The 17208-nt window shown below is 46.4% G+C and overlaps 1 protein-coding gene and 1 long non-coding RNA gene across 4 annotated transcripts in view, besides 3 other annotated features; both read right to left on the bottom strand.

Moving 5' to 3' along the window:
- The window catches only part of ACOT9 (acyl-CoA thioesterase 9), a 42222-nt gene extending 36990 nt beyond the window's left edge, over positions 1-5232 (bottom strand). For all 3 annotated transcript variants that reach the window (NM_001330259.2, NM_001033583.3, NM_001037171.2), the window contains exon 1: positions 5081-5232. Coding sequence is in view for 2 of the 3 variants with exons in the window: in NM_001033583.3 (NP_001028755.2) it covers positions 5081-5100 (20 nt within the window). In the remaining variant the exon portion in view is untranslated. The remainder of the gene's footprint in view (positions 1-5080) is intronic.
- Positions 4762-4811: an enhancer, noted in NCBI's record as "active region_29490". NCBI's record gives its function as "activates an Ori minimal core promoter by ATAC-STARR-seq in GM12878 lymphoblastoid cells {active_cell/tissue: GM12878}" and the evidence as "EXISTENCE:reporter gene assay evidence [ECO:0000049][PMID:35858748]".
- Positions 5082-5401: a silencer, noted in NCBI's record as "silent region_20705". NCBI's record gives its function as "represses an Ori minimal core promoter by ATAC-STARR-seq in GM12878 lymphoblastoid cells {active_cell/tissue: GM12878}" and the evidence as "EXISTENCE:reporter gene assay evidence [ECO:0000049][PMID:35858748]".
- The window catches only part of SAT1-DT (SAT1 divergent transcript), a 34045-nt gene continuing 27734 nt past the window's right edge, over positions 10898-17208 (bottom strand). The window contains exon 5 of the long non-coding RNA NR_184056.1: positions 10898-12787. This is a non-coding gene — a long non-coding RNA (SAT1 divergent transcript). The remainder of the gene's footprint in view (positions 12788-17208) is intronic.
- Positions 14658-14845: a silencer, noted in NCBI's record as "fragment chrX:23770819-23771006 (GRCh37/hg19 assembly coordinates)". NCBI's record gives its function as "represses an EF-1alpha promoter that drives an FKBP-Casp9 reporter gene in an ReSE screen in phorbol 12-myristate 13-acetate-treated (for megakaryocytic differentiation) K562 erythroleukemia cells {active_cell/tissue: K562(+PMA)}" and the evidence as "EXISTENCE:reporter gene assay evidence [ECO:0000049][PMID:32094911]".

The raw sequence follows: 17208 nt of genomic DNA on the forward strand, positions 1-17208 counted from the left end.
TTTTAGTAGAGACGGGGTTTCATCATGTTAGCCAGGATGGTCTCAAACTCCTGACCCTGTGATCTGCCCACCTTGGCCTCCCAAAGTGCTGGGATTACAGGCATGAGCCACCGCACCTGGCCGTCTTTTTGTTTTTGACCATCTAATCTGCATTTTCTCAGAACGTGATTTGAATTTTCCATTTTTTTCATTATTTTGTTTTATGTATCTTCTATAGGTTCATATGCCTTACTGAAGGAAACAGAGTAAGTATTCCTTCATTCTTCCATCTCAGAAACAAGCAGCCAGGCATGGTGGCTCATGCCTGTAATCCTAACACTTTGGGAGGCTGAGGTGGGTAGATCACCTGAGGTCAGGAGTCCGAGACCAGCCTGGCCAACATGGTGAAACCCTATCTCTATTAAAAACATAAAAATTAACCAGGCATGGTGGCGCACACCTGTAGTCCCAGCTACTCTGGAGGCTGAGGCAGAATCACTTGAACCCAGGAGGCAGAGGTTGCAGTGAGCTGAAATGGCCCCATTGCATTCCAGCCTGAGCAACAGAGCAAGACTCCATCTCAAAAAAGAAACTAGCATTCTACAACTGAATATATCTGGTTTTAAAGAACACACTGGAAAAAGCTAATCCTTTCTATTGCTACCATTAGCTGAAAGAGCAAAAAAATCATGACCCCCAACACATTAATAGGAACTATAATAGACACGTTAAATGTATCCAACATAAGAAATGGGATCTGATTCTGAATGGCTAAATACCCTGAATACGCATCACTAACAGGAGCTATATAACCAGTCTCACATACCTGAATAAATACACATATACACAGAAATTGTTTTGTTACACTAAGAAGCAGCATTTTCTGAAGAGGGATGAAAATCATTCCATCCTGTTTGTGTGAGAGGCAATACAGTATAGGGGTTAACCCAAAGGCTGGGCGCAGTGGCTCATGCCTGTAATGCCAACACTTTGGGAGGCCGAGGCAGGCGTATCACTTGAGGTTAGGAGTTTGAGACCAGCCTGGCCAATATGGTGAAACCCCGTCTCTACTAAAAATATGAAAATTAGCTGGGCATGCTGGCGGGCACCTGCAGTCCCAGCTACTCGGGAGTCTGAGGCAGGAGTATTGCTTCAACCCAGGAGGCGGAAGCTGCGGTGAGCCGAGATCGTGCCACTGCACAGCGAGACTCTGTCTCAAAAAAAAAAGAGCCCAATCATGCTGCTTGTTAGCTGAGTTACCTTAGACAAGTTACCTAACCTCCCTGATCCTCAGTTTCCTCATCTGTAAAATGGGGATAATAATACTACCTATCCCATAGGATTGTCAAAAGGATAAAGGAATTAACACATATTAAACCCTGAAGGGCACGTCTAGAAGAGCATGTCTAATATACTGACAAGTCCTCAAAAATCTCTAGCTATCATTATTCCAGAAAGTCATGCTTCTCCAAAGTCTCCCCTAAAGATCAAAAAGAACCAGGCTGGGCACAATGGCTCACGCCTGTAATCCCAGCACTTTGAGAGGCCAACGCGGGAGGATCACTTGAGACCAGTGTGGGCAACATAGGGAGATCCCGTTTCTACAAAAAAATTTTAAAATATTAGTCAGGCGTAGTGGTGCACACTTGTGGTCACAGCTACTCAGGAGGCTGAGGTGGGAGGATCACTTGAGCCCCGGGGAGGTCGAGGCTGCAGTGAGCCATGATCGCACCACTGCACTCCAGCCTGGGTAAAAGAGCAAGACTCTGTCTCCAAAAAAAAAGGAAAGATAGCCTAAGCCAGGCACTATCACGGACCACTGCCAAACATAGAATCAAATGAGGAGAGAAAAGAAGGGAGTTAATGAATACAGAGAAACACTTGGGCCAATTTATTTGGAAAATTGTAGTCCTAGAGCCCCATTGCTTTGCATGCTGCCTTAAAAAATTTGGAAATACATTCCTGTGGCACAACAAAGGCATAATTGGAACACTTTTTAAAAAAATGTTGCTTATACCAATAGCATATTGGTAATAATAAATCTATATCATACTGTCAACATAGCATTCAAGAGTATTCGGGTAATGGTAACTTTTTTTTTTTTTGAGACAGTCTCACTGTCACCCAGGCTGGAGTGCAGTGGCAACATCTTGGCTCACTGCAACCTCCACCTCCCGAGTTCAAGCGATTCTCCAGCCTCAGCCTCCCGAGCAGCTGGGATTACAGCTGTGCACCACCATGCCCAGCTAGTTTTTGTGTTTTTAGTACAGACAGGGCTTCACCATGTTGACCAGGCTGGTTTTGAACTCCTGACCTCAAGTGATCTGCCCGCCTCAGTATCCCAAAGTGCTGGGATTATAGGCGTGAGCCACCGCGCCTGGCATGTAATGGTAACTTTTCACTACATTTGGTATCCTATTTACTGATAATCTGATGGAAACTGTGGACCTCGAGCGGGCGTGGGAAGGGTTGGAATACATTTTTGCTCACACACACAATGGTATATACTATTTCAGGAGGTGCACAGACCCTTTTTGTACCCTCAGATCCCCCTATATTTGAAGATTCTGATTCAAACCAACCTCCTTAAGAAACTGAGGCCCCAGTTTCAGACGACTTTCCCCCAGTGCCAGTCAACAGGCACACCAGCAGAGTCCAGATAGAGCCCAGTTCTTCCGATCTCCCCCAATACATACACACACACACACACACACACACACACACACACACACACACACACCGCACTGAGGTGGAGGAGGTGGGAGAATGGTTTTAATCAATACTCAACACTTCAGTACCTCAGGGTTACTGGCTTATCTCCTGATAAGCCCTCAGGAGTCTTACTTATAGCAAAACCTCTAGGCCTTTACTGTGGAGAGGCCTTTGCAACACTCAAATCCCAGGACCTTGTAACTGAACCTTTCCAATCAAAGGAGATCAAGAAACTCAAGGCGGGGGGAGTGGGGAGGGACAGCATTAGGAGATATACCTAATGCTAAATGACGAGTTAATGGGTGCAGCACACCAGCATGGCACATGTATACATATGTAACTAACCTGCACATTGTGCACATGTACCCTAAACTTAAAGTATAATAATAATAATAATAAAAAGATGATTATTACAAAAAGACAAAAGATAACAAGTGTTGGTGAGGATGTAGAGAAAAGGGAACCCTCGTACACTATTGGTGAAAATGTAAACTGGTACAGCCATTTTGAAAAATAATGAGGCAGTTCCTCCAAAAATTAAAAATATAACTACCATATGATCCAGCAATTTCTCTTCTGGACATATATCCCAAAGAAATAAAAAAAGTATTTCAAAGAGAAAAAAAAAAAAGAAAACTCAAGGCCTCCATGGCCTACCTGGGGAGTCACATAACTCACCCTGGCTCAGCCCTGGGTCCCAAGCTTACAGCAGTTGGCAAGGAAGAGTGTTCAGTGCAATAACAGGCAATACCACTCATATGCCCTCCACTCTGAGGAAATAACCTCTATTTAGAGACTAAACAAAGGTGCCTCTTGCAAGTCTAAAAAAGAAAAGAAGCTACAAAGGTTGCCCACCAGTCAAAGAACCTAATCATCTCAGTCTATATTCATTTGTGAACTCCTCCTCTCACTAGACACTAAGAGATTATCCGCTTAAGGTTCAATAGTTTTTTGTTTGAGACAGAATCTCACTGTGTTGCCCAGGCTGGAGTGCAGGGGCGCGATCTCAGCTCACTGCAACCTCTGCCTTCCGGTTCAGGCGATTCTCCTGCCTCAGCCTCCAAAAGTAGCTGTGACTACAGACATGCACCACCACTCCCGGCTAATTTTTGTATTTTTAATAGAGACGGGGTTTCACCATGTTGGCCAGGCTGGTCTCGAACTCCTGGCCTCAAGTGATCCATCCACCTCAGCATCCCAAAACGCTGGGACTGCAGTCGTGCACCACCACACCCGGCCTCAATAGAATTTTCAAGAAAGGAACACAGGGTTATAAGAGAAAGCACCTGAACAAGACCATGGAGCTTTTGTAGAAGACCTTTCACATTGCAAGCTAAAGTCAACTGTGGCCCCTCTCATAATGACTTTCAGTCTGCCTTCAAATAGTTTAACAAAGGTTTTTTGTTTGTTTTTAAGTACTATAAACAAGACAGAACCCTTACAACTGATAACAAAGTCCCCAGGAACAGTGAGTGAGTGAGAGAGAGAGAGAGAGAGAGAGGGAGAGAGAGAGAGAGAGAGATATCCAGGACCCCCAAGAGAATTGATGGGGTTAATGTGAGTCAAAAGCACTATGAGTCACATCAGGGGGACAGGCCCACTGGCAGCGAGATAACTTCAGAAACTGGAGCAGGTGTGAGCCCCCTGGGATGCAGCCAGGCAGAAAACTTGGAAAGGGTGGCATGCTCGGGTGAAAGGGATTAGGGAGAGCTAGACACGCTCTGGAGTCTAAGGCCCTCAGGCCTTAACTGTGCCAGCTGGGAAGATTACATATACAAAAAGGCATCCTCCCTTACCCACGTGGCCCAATCAAAGCACCCAGCCTCTTATAAGGGCTTTGCGGCTCATTAAAGTTAAGTTCAAATTGGCACCAGGGTCCTAGACGCACAGTCCTAGGGTCCTGGGAGCCAAAAGGTACCCTGTAATCTCTGCCAATGTTACAACAAACTTAAGTAAGAGCCGAAGTAGGTCAAGCATTTAATCCTAAAAATGTTCTCCAAAGGAAGATGAAGGGCTAGAGGTAACATAGAACTCCAAATATTATCTTTCTGACAAGGGGCTACCCCGACGCGGCTACCAACCACACCCCGGATGAGCAAGGCCAAAGGAATTTTAGGGAACACCCAACTTCCTCCCTTAAAAGTGCTGCTTTGCTTTTAATATCAAACTCAGTGCTAGAAGTCGCCAAAGTGGGGGCGAGGTTCTCCCAACCAAAGGCCGGCGGGCTTATGTCCGGTCGGAGGTACAGTGGGCGAGCGCCCCTTATCATAGAGCCCAAATGCCCATGCGTGGCCCACTTCTTCCGCCGGGGCCAGCCCGAAGCTCTAGGGGAAGACGATGGCACCCCAGGCTACCGCCCTGCCAGCCCCTTCCACGCCCCGCCACCTACCGCAGTGCTGCCCGCCTCATTGCGCTAGGCTGCCGTGCGCGCGATGGAGAACCGGGCCCCGCGCGCTAGTCGGCGGAGGGAAACTGAGGCGATAAAAGACGCACGAGTACCAGACCGCGCCCTTGCTGAGGACAGCCCGGGAGCCGGACAGCGGTGTCCGGGGGCGGGACCGCGGCGTCCAGGGGGCGTGGCCGCGCTGTGCCGGGCGGACCCTACCCGTTCATTGGCGGGAGGCTGGAGTCCGCCTCTGCGGAGCTTCCCACTCAATCAGTTGTGCGGGTCGTGTTGCTACAGCGAGGACCGGCCTATTCTCGGTTGAGTAAACGAACCACGCAGCAACGCCAGGGCGTGACGTCGAGAAGAGGCCCGGCTCTGCCTAGTGGAGCTTGTCTCCTTTATCCTTGATCCCCGCGCCTTGGCTCCGTCTGTTCTTCCCCTTGGCTGCACATTGGAATCTCCTGGGCAACTTTCCAAAATACTGATACTTGGCCGGGCGCGGTGGCTCACGCCTGTAATTCCAGCACTTTGGAAGGCCTAGGCGGGCAGATCACCTGAGGTCAGGAGTTCAAGACCAGCCTGGCCAACATGGCGAAACCCTGTCTCTACTAAAAATTCAAAAATTAGCCAGGCGTGGTGGCAGACGCCTGTAATCCCAGCTACTCGGGGGACAGGCACGAGTATCGCTTGAACCTGGGAGGCGGAGGTTGCGGTGAGCCGAGATCGCACCACTACACTTCAGCTTGGGCGACAGAAGGAGACAATGTCTCAAAAAAAAAACAACAAAAAACTGATGCTTGAGACCCACTGGCTGGAGATTCTAGTTTAGTCCTGGGTGCGGTCTGGGCTTCGGGATGATGTCTAAAGATGCCCCCAGGTGATGCTAATGTAACCAAAGGCTAAAAACCACTGACCTAACAGGAAAAAATTGTTCCTCTCCTCTTCTCGGCCTGACCCCCAATGTTTGATATCTTGGGCGAGCTAGAGAGATTCAAGGCCAGAGAGTTTAAGATTATTTCACCCTACGATCTAATTCTCCATTTCTTTCAACGAATTATTATTGAGCTGTTTGCATTGTGCCAGGCACTATTGCAGAGGTTGGGGTTGCAAAAAGAAAAAAGGACAAAAATCCCCGCCCTTAAGGGGCTTGCCTCTTGATAAGGAAGGAAAACAAATCAACAAACAAGTTAGCAAATAACATGATCTCAAATATGGTAAAGCGGTTTAAAGGGGAAATAAGGTAACGAGTGGGGATCTTTTGAGAATATAAGCAAGTCTTGCTTTGCCTCTAAATACGGCAATTTCCTAAAAGGCAAGGGCCATATGCTTTTTCGCAATACCCCATACTTAGTAAAAATGTATTGATTTGAATTAAGCTAGCTTTCTGTTTTGAATCACTTCATGAGTTACACATGGAGCATGGTCTTCGGCTTTCTCTTTCTACTGAATTTTCCCTGCTTTTATCAATCTCACATCTGGAAGACTCCCCTTTTAGCCTACAAGGATCTCTCCTTCATTTTTGTTCACATTGTCTTTTCATTTTTGTCACATTGTTCACATTGTTCACAAGTCACTTTTCAGTGATTGTCTTGTTGGTTTTGGGTCAGCCATATTTCTTTATACTCTACCACACCTAACACAGAGGGCAATAAATATTGTATTGAATTATGCTATTTTTGTTCTTCTTTTTACTTGAACTTTTCTTTGAAGCAATAGGAGGCTCAGGGAGAAAAAATAAGTACAAGAGAGAATTTTTTGTAAATGGTATAATAGGTAGGTACAGTTTATAGTTTTTCCCGCAATCAAGTCGCCTTCCGTCAATTTCCAAATTATAAAGACACATTCTCATCAATATAATAAACACCATCGATTTTGGCTGGAACAGCTGAAACCAGGGACTTAATGCCATGCAGATGCCTTCTCTCTATTGCTTATCTTTGCTTTCCTTTGCATACTGGCTTCATTCTTTTTTCTCTCTATGTAATGACATTCTCCATATGGCAATAGAAGCTCCTGAACTTTACATCTTACAACCACAGCCACACACATACAGACTGACTGAAATTTCTACGGCCCAAATACAAAAAAGTTCTGAGAAGAGATTCATTGGTCCAATTTGGATCAGGTACACACTCCTGGACTAGCCAACTGTGGCATCAGGGTAAGGAACCCTTGCCCTGACTTACCAGGAACCCCCTCACCCAGACTCATGGCCAGGTACTGGGTCACAATCTACTAACATGGTTATTTCTGTAAGTAACTGTACAGATGGGGATACGGAGCACCTTCTTAGAAAAGGAGTACCGAGGCCGGGTGCGGTGGCTCACGTCTGTAATCCCAGAACTTTGGGAGGCTGAGGCGAGTGGATCAACTGATGTCAGGAATTCAATACTGGGCTGGCCAACATGGTGAGACCCCTGCCTCTACTAAAGATACAAAAATTAGCTGGCTGTGGTGGTGGGCGCCTGTAATCCCAGCTACTCGGGAGGCTGAGGCAGGAGAATCGCTTGAACCTGGGAGGCGAAGGTTGCACTGAGCTGAGATCGCGCCACTGCACTCCAGCCTGGGCAAGAGACTCCATCTCAAAAAAAAAAAAAAAAAAAAAGAAAGAAAGAAAAGAAGAGGAGTATGGAGCAGCCAACCACATAGATGTCCACTAGAAGGTTAAAGAGGGAAAAAAATGATCACATCACTTAGCCCACCTACCTTAGTTGTAACTTCAGGGAACCCCTGCTAGACCTAGCCTGCCCAGCATTCATCCACGAGTCTCTAACTACCTCAATTGGCAGCATGCATAAAATTCTTAAAACAGCTTAGCAACTCTGATTTCTGTGTGTGTTGTTGTTGTCGTCATTATTATCAAGCATATATGCTATACCACATTTTGGATAGCAGAGAAGGAAGGGGAAATGGTCACAAAATCAAAACAGGAAACATACAACAATTGTATAGTGGTGAGAATCACCGTCCTTAAGTAACAGGTTCTCTACCCAACCTTTTTGTTTCCTGTTATGTTCTATTAGTTCTATTTTAATATGGTCTCAGGATAACAGAGATGGTATCAATTGTGTAATTAAAAGTTACTTAATCATGCACTGACAGATACATAAGATATTAATGTCGTTATTACAAGTAAAACAATAAAATCAAATAACAAGGCTGGAAAGCAGTATCCCAGCACTTTGGGAGGCTGAGGTGGGTGGATTGCTTAAGAACAGGAGCTCAAGACCAGCCTGGTCAACAGAGCAAGACCCCATCTCTACAAAAAAAAAAAAAAATTGTTTAAATCAAACAACAAAACCTAACAAGGCATTGTCAGGTCTTCTTCTTTTTTTTTTTTTTTTTTTTTTTTTGAGACAGAGTCTCGCTCTGTTACCAGGCTGGAGTGCGGTGGTGCGGTCTCAGCTCACTGCAACCTCCGCCTCCTGGGTTCAAGCGATTCTCCTGCCTCAGCCTCCCAAGTAGCTGGGATTACAGGCACGTGCCACCACACCCGGCTAATTTTTGTATTTTTAGTAGATATGGGGTTTCACCATGTTAGCCAGGCTGGTCTTGAACTCCTGACCTCGTGATCCTCCCACCTTGGCCTTCCAAAGTGCTGGGATTACAGGCGTGAGCCACCGCGCCCGGCCAAAGGCATTGTTAGTTCAATCTAGTATTATGAGTGAAAAATATCCAGTTACCATCTTTCCTTGGGCTGCTGAATAATATATACTTTTGGATATCTGATTTAGGTAGAAAATGTTCCTGGAAAACTGTCATCAACTTTCAAACAAAGTGATTCGAACTACGATTTCATTAGGACACAGAAACTTTTTAAAAATATATCTTATTTCCTCAATTATTCAGATTATACAAAAGGATCCACAATAAAGTTAGGAGGGGAGGGCCAGGCACGGTGGCTCACGCCTGTAATCCTGGCACTTTGAAGCTCGAGGCAGGCAGATCACCTGAGGTCAGGAGTTCAAGACCAGCCTGGCCAACATGGCAAAACCCCCATCTCTACTAAAGGTAAAAAAAATGAGCAGGGCATGCTGTCGCGCGTCTGTACTCCCTGCTACTTGGGAGGCTGAGTCAGGAGAATTGCTTGAACCTGGGAGGCGGAGGTTGCAGTGAGCCGAGATGGTGCCACTGCACTCAAAGCCTGAGCGACAGAGGGAGACTCCATCTCAGAATATAAATAATAATAGTAATAATAAAGTCAGGAAGGGAGAAGGAAACAATGTAAAAGTATTTTCCAGCTGGGCACAGTGGCTTACGCCTGTAATCCCAGCACTTTGGGAGGCCGAGGCGGATGGATCACGAGGTCAGGAGTTCGAGACCAGCCTGGCCAATATGGTGAAACCCTGTCTCTATAAAAAATTCAAAATTAGCTGGCCGTGGTGGCGCACACATGCAGTACCAGCTGCTCAGGAGGCTGAGGCAGGAGAATCGCTCGAACCCAGGAAGCGGAGATTGCAGCGAGCCGAGATCGTGTCACTGCACTCCAGCCTGGGTGACAGAGTGAGACTCCGTCCCAAAAAAAAAATAATAAAAAAAAGTATTTTTCACCCTAACGTTAAAGAAAAAAACAGAAAGACTAGTGGGCTGTTACGTGAATGTGCTTAGTTTTTTGTTTGTTTTTGTTTTTTGTTTTTTTTTTGAGACAGAGTCTCGCTCTTGTTGCCCAGGCTGGAGTGCAGTGGCCCAATCTCGGCTCACTGCAACCTCCACCTCCTGAGTTCAAGCTATTCTACTGCCTCAGCCTCCTGAGTAGCGGGGACTACAGGTGCCTGCCACCATGCCTGGCTAATTTTTGTAATTTTGTGGCCCCCAGCTCCACTTTTATGACTGCTCTTCAAATCCAAGTGTTGAAAGGTTCTCGTCCACGAGGCTGAGGCGGGAGAATCACTTGAACCCAAGGAGGCAGAGGTTGCAGTGAGGTGAGATCGCGCCATTGCACTCCAGCCTGGGCAACAGAGACTTCATCTCAAAAAAAAAAAAAAAAAGAGAGAGCGAGAGAAAGGTTCGTGTCTTTAGAAATGCTTTTCCAGGCCGGGCACGGTGGCTCACACCTTTAATCCTAACACTTTGGGAGGCTGCAGCAGGTGGATCACTTGAGGTCAGGAGTTCAAGACCAGCCTGACCAACATGGTGAAACCCTGTCTCTACCAAAAATCCAAAAATTAGCCGGGCACGGTGGTGCACAACTGTAATCCCAGCTACTCAGGAGGCTGAGGCAGGAGAATTGCTTGAACCCGGGTGGCAGAGTTTGCAGTGAGCCGAGACCACGCCATTTGCACTCCAGCCCAGGCAACCAGAGCAAAACTCAGTCTCAAAAAACAAACAAACAAAAGAAATGCTTTTCCCTCTAACAATTTTCTCTTGCTTAAAAATGGCAAACATGGCCAGGCACGGTGGCTCACGCCTGTCATTCCAGCACTTTGGGAGGCCAAGGAGGGCAGATCACCTGAGGTCCGGAGTTCAAGACCAGCCTGGTCAACGTGGTGAAACCCCGTGTCTGCTAAAAATACAAAAATTAGCCGGGTGTGGTGGCTCATGCCTGTAGTCCCACCTGCTCGGGCGGCTGAGGCAGGAGAATTGGTTGAATCTGGGAGGCAGAGGTTGCAGTAAGCTGAGATCGCACCACTGCACTCCAACCTGGGGGATGAAGCAAAACTCCATCTCCAAAAAAAAGAAAGAAAGAAGAAGGCAAACATTTAAAACATATAATACTATTATTAACATAGGATCAGAGGGCATCTGTAAGAACAGGACATCTTCATTTCAGGGTATCACCTTCAATAAATCTGTCTCTTTCAATAATATAGGGGTACAGAGTCAGATATACAAAAGGTTTATTAGGGGCAACGCCTATAAAACATAAAAGGGAGAGGGAACAGGACCAGACAAGGAACACCTTTAGTTCGTGATGTAGGACTAAAACCTGAGAAAGGAGAGGGGCCAGGAAAGATATTTGGGTAGGAGGAGCCTTGGACTGCAGTGCAGCTCTGAGAAAGCCTAGGCCTGCAAAACAGGGAGTGCTGGTGCAAAGATTGCCCTCCCGAAGAGTCCCATACTGGCCAGAAATGGTGAGCCCTTGTACCATGGCAGTGCCTGGCCTTTGCTTAGAGGCTGTCTGGGAAGCATGTAGCCTCAGCTTGAAAGCTGAGGCAGATCTTGACAGCTGTCCGCTAACTCCACCCCTTGTGGCAGGTCTGCTGTAGGGAGATCTGAGTGGGACACCTCCATGGCTACCACGGGTCACCCCCTGCACTGCACAGATCGATTTCCCCATACACATTCAGGGAACTCCTCCATGGTTCCCATGGGTCTCTCTTCCTGAAGGGAAACTTAGAAGAGGTAGGTTAGTAGGACTAACTACAGTCCCTGTCACTACAGTTGGTATTGGAGTCACAGCTGGTTCTCATCCTGTCTTTCCTCTACCATGTATTCTAAATTCCCCTCACCTCTAGCTTTCCCAATGGTGTAACCCAAACCCTCATTCCTGTGAGATCTGAGCCCCTGGTAATCATATCCATTTCACACCAGAGTTGCTGCACTTGTCCATTCGCAGTCACAACCAGGCAAGGGAATACCAAGAAGTGCCCAACTAGATTGATCACCCAAGTTTCACACACATTCCTCTCTGCCACGTTGTACAACAGCAGCCTCTTCCTGCTGATTGAGAGCAAGTATCCCTGCCAAGGTGCTGACTCCTTGGCCACAAGAAGTCCAAAGGCCTGGCCATACCCACACTTGTGTCCACTGGCAAGAATGTGCCCCTTTGCAGAACAGAACCTTGAACTCTGCAGAGCCCACAGTTGCAAATTCAGGAAACATGAGTGCCCCTGTGGGCCATTAGAAATGATAGTAATTGGAGGCCGGGTGCGGTGGCTCAAGCCTGTAATCGCAGCACTTTGGGAGGCTGAGGCAGGCGGATCACTTGAGGCCAGGAGTTCAAGAGTAGCCAGGCCAAAGTGGCGAAACCCCGTCTCTACTAAAAATACAAAAATTAGCCAGGCATGGTGGCACCCGCCTGTAGTCCCAGCCACTCGGGAAGCTGAGGCATGAGAATCACTTGAACTCGGGAGGCAGAGGTTGCAGTGAGCCGAAATCATACCACTGCACTCCAGACTGGGCGACAGAGTGAGACTCTGTCTCAAAAAAAAAAAAAAAAAAAAAAAAGAATTCTCTTGCTGGCCTTGAAGAAAAAAGAAGTTATACAACTGCAAGAAAATGAATTCTGCCAACAACCAAGTGAACTTAGAAGAGAGACCCCAGCCCCAGCTGACACATCGATTCCAGCCTTGGAGACCCTGAACAGAGGACTCGGCTAAGCTATGCCCAGACTCTTGACCCACAGAAACTGTAAGGTAATAAACATGTGTTGTTTATGCCACTAAATTTGTGTTAATTTGTTACCTAGCAATAGAACATGAATACAGTGCCTATATTTCATCCTGGAAGATGGTACCCCATGCTTGCAGAGTCTTGTCTCCAAGTTGGCACTTCAATTACACCTTCAGCAGATCATTCAGATGCTCTGTTAGGATGGCTACTTGTGAATGCTGTGGTATATGATATGAACGATGAATCCTACTGGTCAGGACCTGCTCCCACACCTCCTTCATGATGAAGCAGGTCTCCTCAGATGCCATCTTGTGTGAGAATCCAGGCCTGTGGATCAGGCATTCCAAAAGCCCCAGGATAATGATGGTAAATGAAGCCCTACAGGTAGGAAAGGCAGTCATACTCAGAGAAAATACTGATTCCTGTGAGAGCAAATCTCTGGCCCTCCTCTGGTGCGGTGGCTCACGTCTGTAATCCCAGCAATTTGGGAGGCCAAGGCAGGCGGATCAGTTGAGGCCAGGAGTTCAAGACCAGTTTGGCCAACATGGTGAAACCCCATCTCTATAAAAATACAAAAATTAGCTGGGCGTGGTAGCGTGTGCCTGTAATCCCAGCTACTCAGGAGGCTAAGCCAGGAGAATTGCTTGAACCCAGGAGGTGGAGGTTGCAGTGAAGCAAGATCGGGCCGCTGTACTCCAGTCTGGGTGGTAGAGGAGATTCCATCTCAATAAATAAATAAATAAATAAATATTTTTTAAAAAATCGCTGACCCTTCTAAAGTAATAGGGGTCCAATGTCATCAACTTGCCAAGTAGCTTGTGAGTCTCCTTGAAGAAGAGTGCCATGTCAGGGGACTTGGCATTGGTCTCTGATGGCAGGTTGGACATTCAAAGGTGGCAGTAGCCAGGTGAAGCTCAGTAAGTGGGAGTCCATGCTGTTGAGCCCATGAGGCCTGAGAACCTGGGGAAAGCACTGGTGCAAGTCCCTGGAGCTGTGAGTGTCCCTAACATCTAATTGCAAACACAGCAGGCATTACTGCTCAACCAGATACACTGAAGCTCTGTGCTTGGGGGCCAATCACCAAGTCAACATGCAGACTGCCAGTTCAGAAAAAGGACAGCAAGTTAGCAATTAATGTAAATGTCTACTGGATTAAAAACCCAGTTAAAAACAATATTGCTGGCCAGGCACAGTGGCTCATGCCTGTAATCCCAACACTTTGGGAGGCCAAGGCGAGTGGATTACCTGAGGTCGGGAGTTCAAGACCAGCCTGACCAACATGGAGAAACCCCATCTCTACTAAAAATACCAAATTAGCCGGGTGTGGTGTCACATGCCTGTAATCCCAGCTACTAGAGAGGCTGAGGCAGGTGAATCACTTAAACCCAGGAGGCGGAGGTTGCAGTGAGCCAAGATCGCACCATTGCACTCCAGCCTGGGCAACAAGAGCAAAACTCAGTCTCAAAAAAATAAGAAATAAAAAAATATTGCTCCATAAACAGTTGCGCCTAGTAGCTCAGACTACCATCAAGTCCATTTTTAAAATGTGGTTTTCTCAGGCAGGCGCAGTAGCTGATGCTTATAATTCCAGAACTTTGAGAGGCTGAGGTGGGTGGATCACCTGAGGCCAGGAGGTCAAGACCAGCCTGACCAACATGGCGAAACCCCATCTCTACCAAAAATACAACAACAACAAAAAATTAGCCAGGCATGGTGGTGCACGCTGGTAATCCCAGCTACTCGGGAGGCTGAGGCATGAAAACTGCTTGAATCCAGGAGGCAGAGGTTGCAGTGAGCCTAGATTGTGCCACTGCACTCCAGCCTGGGCGACAGAGTGAGACTCCTTCTCAGAAAAAAAAAAAAAAAGTGGTTTTCTGAAATGTCATGTAACATTACCTGATTATCTGACCCCGCACCTTCTATTATCATTTGATTGGGGGTGGAGGTGAGGAAAGAAATGGGATCAAGACATGAAACAACTTCGCTAGACTCAGCTCAGAGATGATACAAACTTTACATTTCAGAGCTCTAAGAGACCTGGAAAACTATCCTATTCCTTCTCTCCTCTCCTCATATACAAATGTTTTTATCAATTTTTTTACAACTTTTTTAACAATGAGGCTGGGCATGGTGGCTCATACCTATAATCCCAATAATGTGGAAGGCCAAGGCGGGAGGATCACTTGAGCCCAGGAGTTCGAGACCAGCCTGGGCCACATAATGAGACCTCGTCTCTACAAAAAATACAAAAATTAGCCAGGCATGGTGGTGCACGCCTGTGGTCCCAGCTACTTCAGAGGCTGAGATAGGAGGATCACTTGAGCCCAGGAGGTCCAAGCTGCAGTGAACTGTGATAGCATTCCAGCCTGCATCTCAAAAGCCAAACAATGTTTTTAACAAGGAAAATATGACTTAGTGAACTTAAAAGACTTGCCTAAGGCCATAGCGGAAGAGCAGAACTATAATCCAAGGCTCCTAAAAGCCAGCCAAGACATTTTTCAACCCCCTACATCATCTCTCAAGGACTATGAGTGTACACAACAGCAATTTGCATGGCTAAGCACATGTTATGAGAAAAGAGGACATATTTTCCAATTGGTAAATCAAGCTGCAACTTTTAGAAAAGAAAGATACAGTACAAAAAGAAAGAAAAAGGAATCAAACTTTTTACAATAATCAGTTAAGCAAGTTTTTTTATGATTTGAGGCAGAGATGAATCAGAAAATTCCACACTGGTCTCCCCACTGACTCTGAGTGCTATTTTTATGGAAGTGACCTAAGATGCTTATAGTAATATAATAAGAGTCAAATGTTTCCTGGCAGCCAATCTAGAAAAAAGAATAGAATATAGGAATTGGCAACAACCCTATAAGAACAGGTTCAGGCTGGGCGTGGTGGCTCATGCCTATAATCCCAGCACTTTGGGAGGCCAAAGTGGGATGATCACTGGAGCCTAGGAGTTTGAGACCAGCCTGGGTAATATAGTGAGACCCTGTCTATACAAAATAAAATAAAATAGCTGGGTGTGGTGGCGCATACCTGGGGTCCCAACTACTTGAAAGGCTGAGGTGGGAGGATCACTTGAGCCCAGAAGGTTGAGGCTGCAGTGATCTGTGATCACACCACTGCACTCCAGCCTGGGCAACAGAGCGAGACTGTGTCAAAAAAAAAAAAAAAAAAAAGAACAGGTTCAGCAAACCTGCCCCATAAAGTAGAAATGCCCTTTTGTAACCCTTTTTCCAGAAGCTCCCCATTCTTTAGGGCAGTTCTCTAGGGGTATTCTTGTTATTAAACATTTTTCTTCACATGGAGCTAATATCTGCTTCCTGGAACTGCCCCTGATATGACACAGAATAAGTCTAAGTCTAGTCCCACTTTCTTTCTTTCTTTCTTTCTTTCTTTTAAATGGAGTCTTGCTCTGTTGCCCAGGCTGGAGTGCAGTGGTGCGATCTCGGCTCACTGCAACCTCCGCCTCCTGGGTTCAAGCGATTCTCCTGCCTCAGCCTCCCGAGTAGCTGGGACTACAAGTGCATGCCACCATGCCCAGCTAATTTTTTGTATTTCTCAGTAGAGATGGGGTTTCACTGTGCTAGCCAAGATGGTCTCCATCTCCTGACCTCGTGATCCACCCGCCTCGGCCTCCCAAAGTGCTGGGATTACAGGTGTGAGCCACCATGCCCGGCCTAGTCCCACTTTCTTGTGCAAGCCTTCAAGTTTAACTATTTGCCATTTTACTCCTTTCCTTCCATTTTCTTGAGTTCAGGTTAAATGTTGCTTGTTCATTCAATGACACAGTGTGGTTTGCAGCCCTAAACCAGAGTAGTAGTCCTCCAAGGCTGTTTCAGACATGTATTCTGCAAACACGAATGCAGGATGCTGCCATATGCCATTCCACGTGCCTGGGGGAGGATGTCCACCCCAACATTGTAATGAGAAAAAATAACTCCGCTTCTCAGTCCAGACATTGGGTAAATGTTAGCAGATGTGCAGAACAGGTGCATATTATTCCATACCCTCCCACCCCAATCCTCTATTCCACGGTCATCTCAACTCCTTGCCTCCCATGGCACTTGGGAGATTGAGGATTGATCAATCCCTGATTGTTACTGATGTCTGATGCCCAGCCTATAACTGACCTCACTACTTACTTCCCTTCACTTGTGACTAATTATAGAAGCAGTTATATCAAGCAGGGCCAGGGTCAGGACCAGGGTGTGGCAAGTGAGGCATTTGCCTTGAATGCAAATTTGATTTTTCTAATATTCCATTGAAATATTATTTATCTTGATTATTGGGGTTTTCACCCCTTTAAATTCTGCACAGGTGAGTGTCTCACTTGCCTATTCTTAATCTTGGCCCTGATTCATGGTTGGATTGACCAGTGAGATCAAGAGCCAAGAGCTTGGACTAACGAAGAGGTCAGAGTTCATTTTGAGTGATAGCCCTCCTATTCAGCTAGAAGACAGATTTATCTGATTTCCCTTACCCCTCCCACACACAAAGAAATTGTTGGATTTCATCAGAGCAGGGACCATAGGTCCATATATCACCTCCCACCAGAGTGCCAGCCCCTGATGTACCTTTCTGTCCTGTTCCAGGACTTAGATATCTAACTCGTGAACCACTAGGCAAGAAGAAGTCAGAATACAAGAAAAATACTGACAGTTGAAGGCACCAATGTTGGAATCCTCCATTGCTGATGAGTGGGTTAGTCCCAAGGCCTTTTGGTTAAAAGTAATGAATTTTTCAAGTGAAAGGTAATAGGGCTGGTTACATTTGGGTTCAGCAAAGTCATAAAA

Source organism: Homo sapiens, chromosome X (genome assembly GCF_000001405.40).
Source record: "Homo sapiens chromosome X, GRCh38.p14 Primary Assembly".
Lineage (NCBI taxonomy): Eukaryota > Metazoa > Chordata > Mammalia > Primates > Hominidae > Homo > Homo sapiens.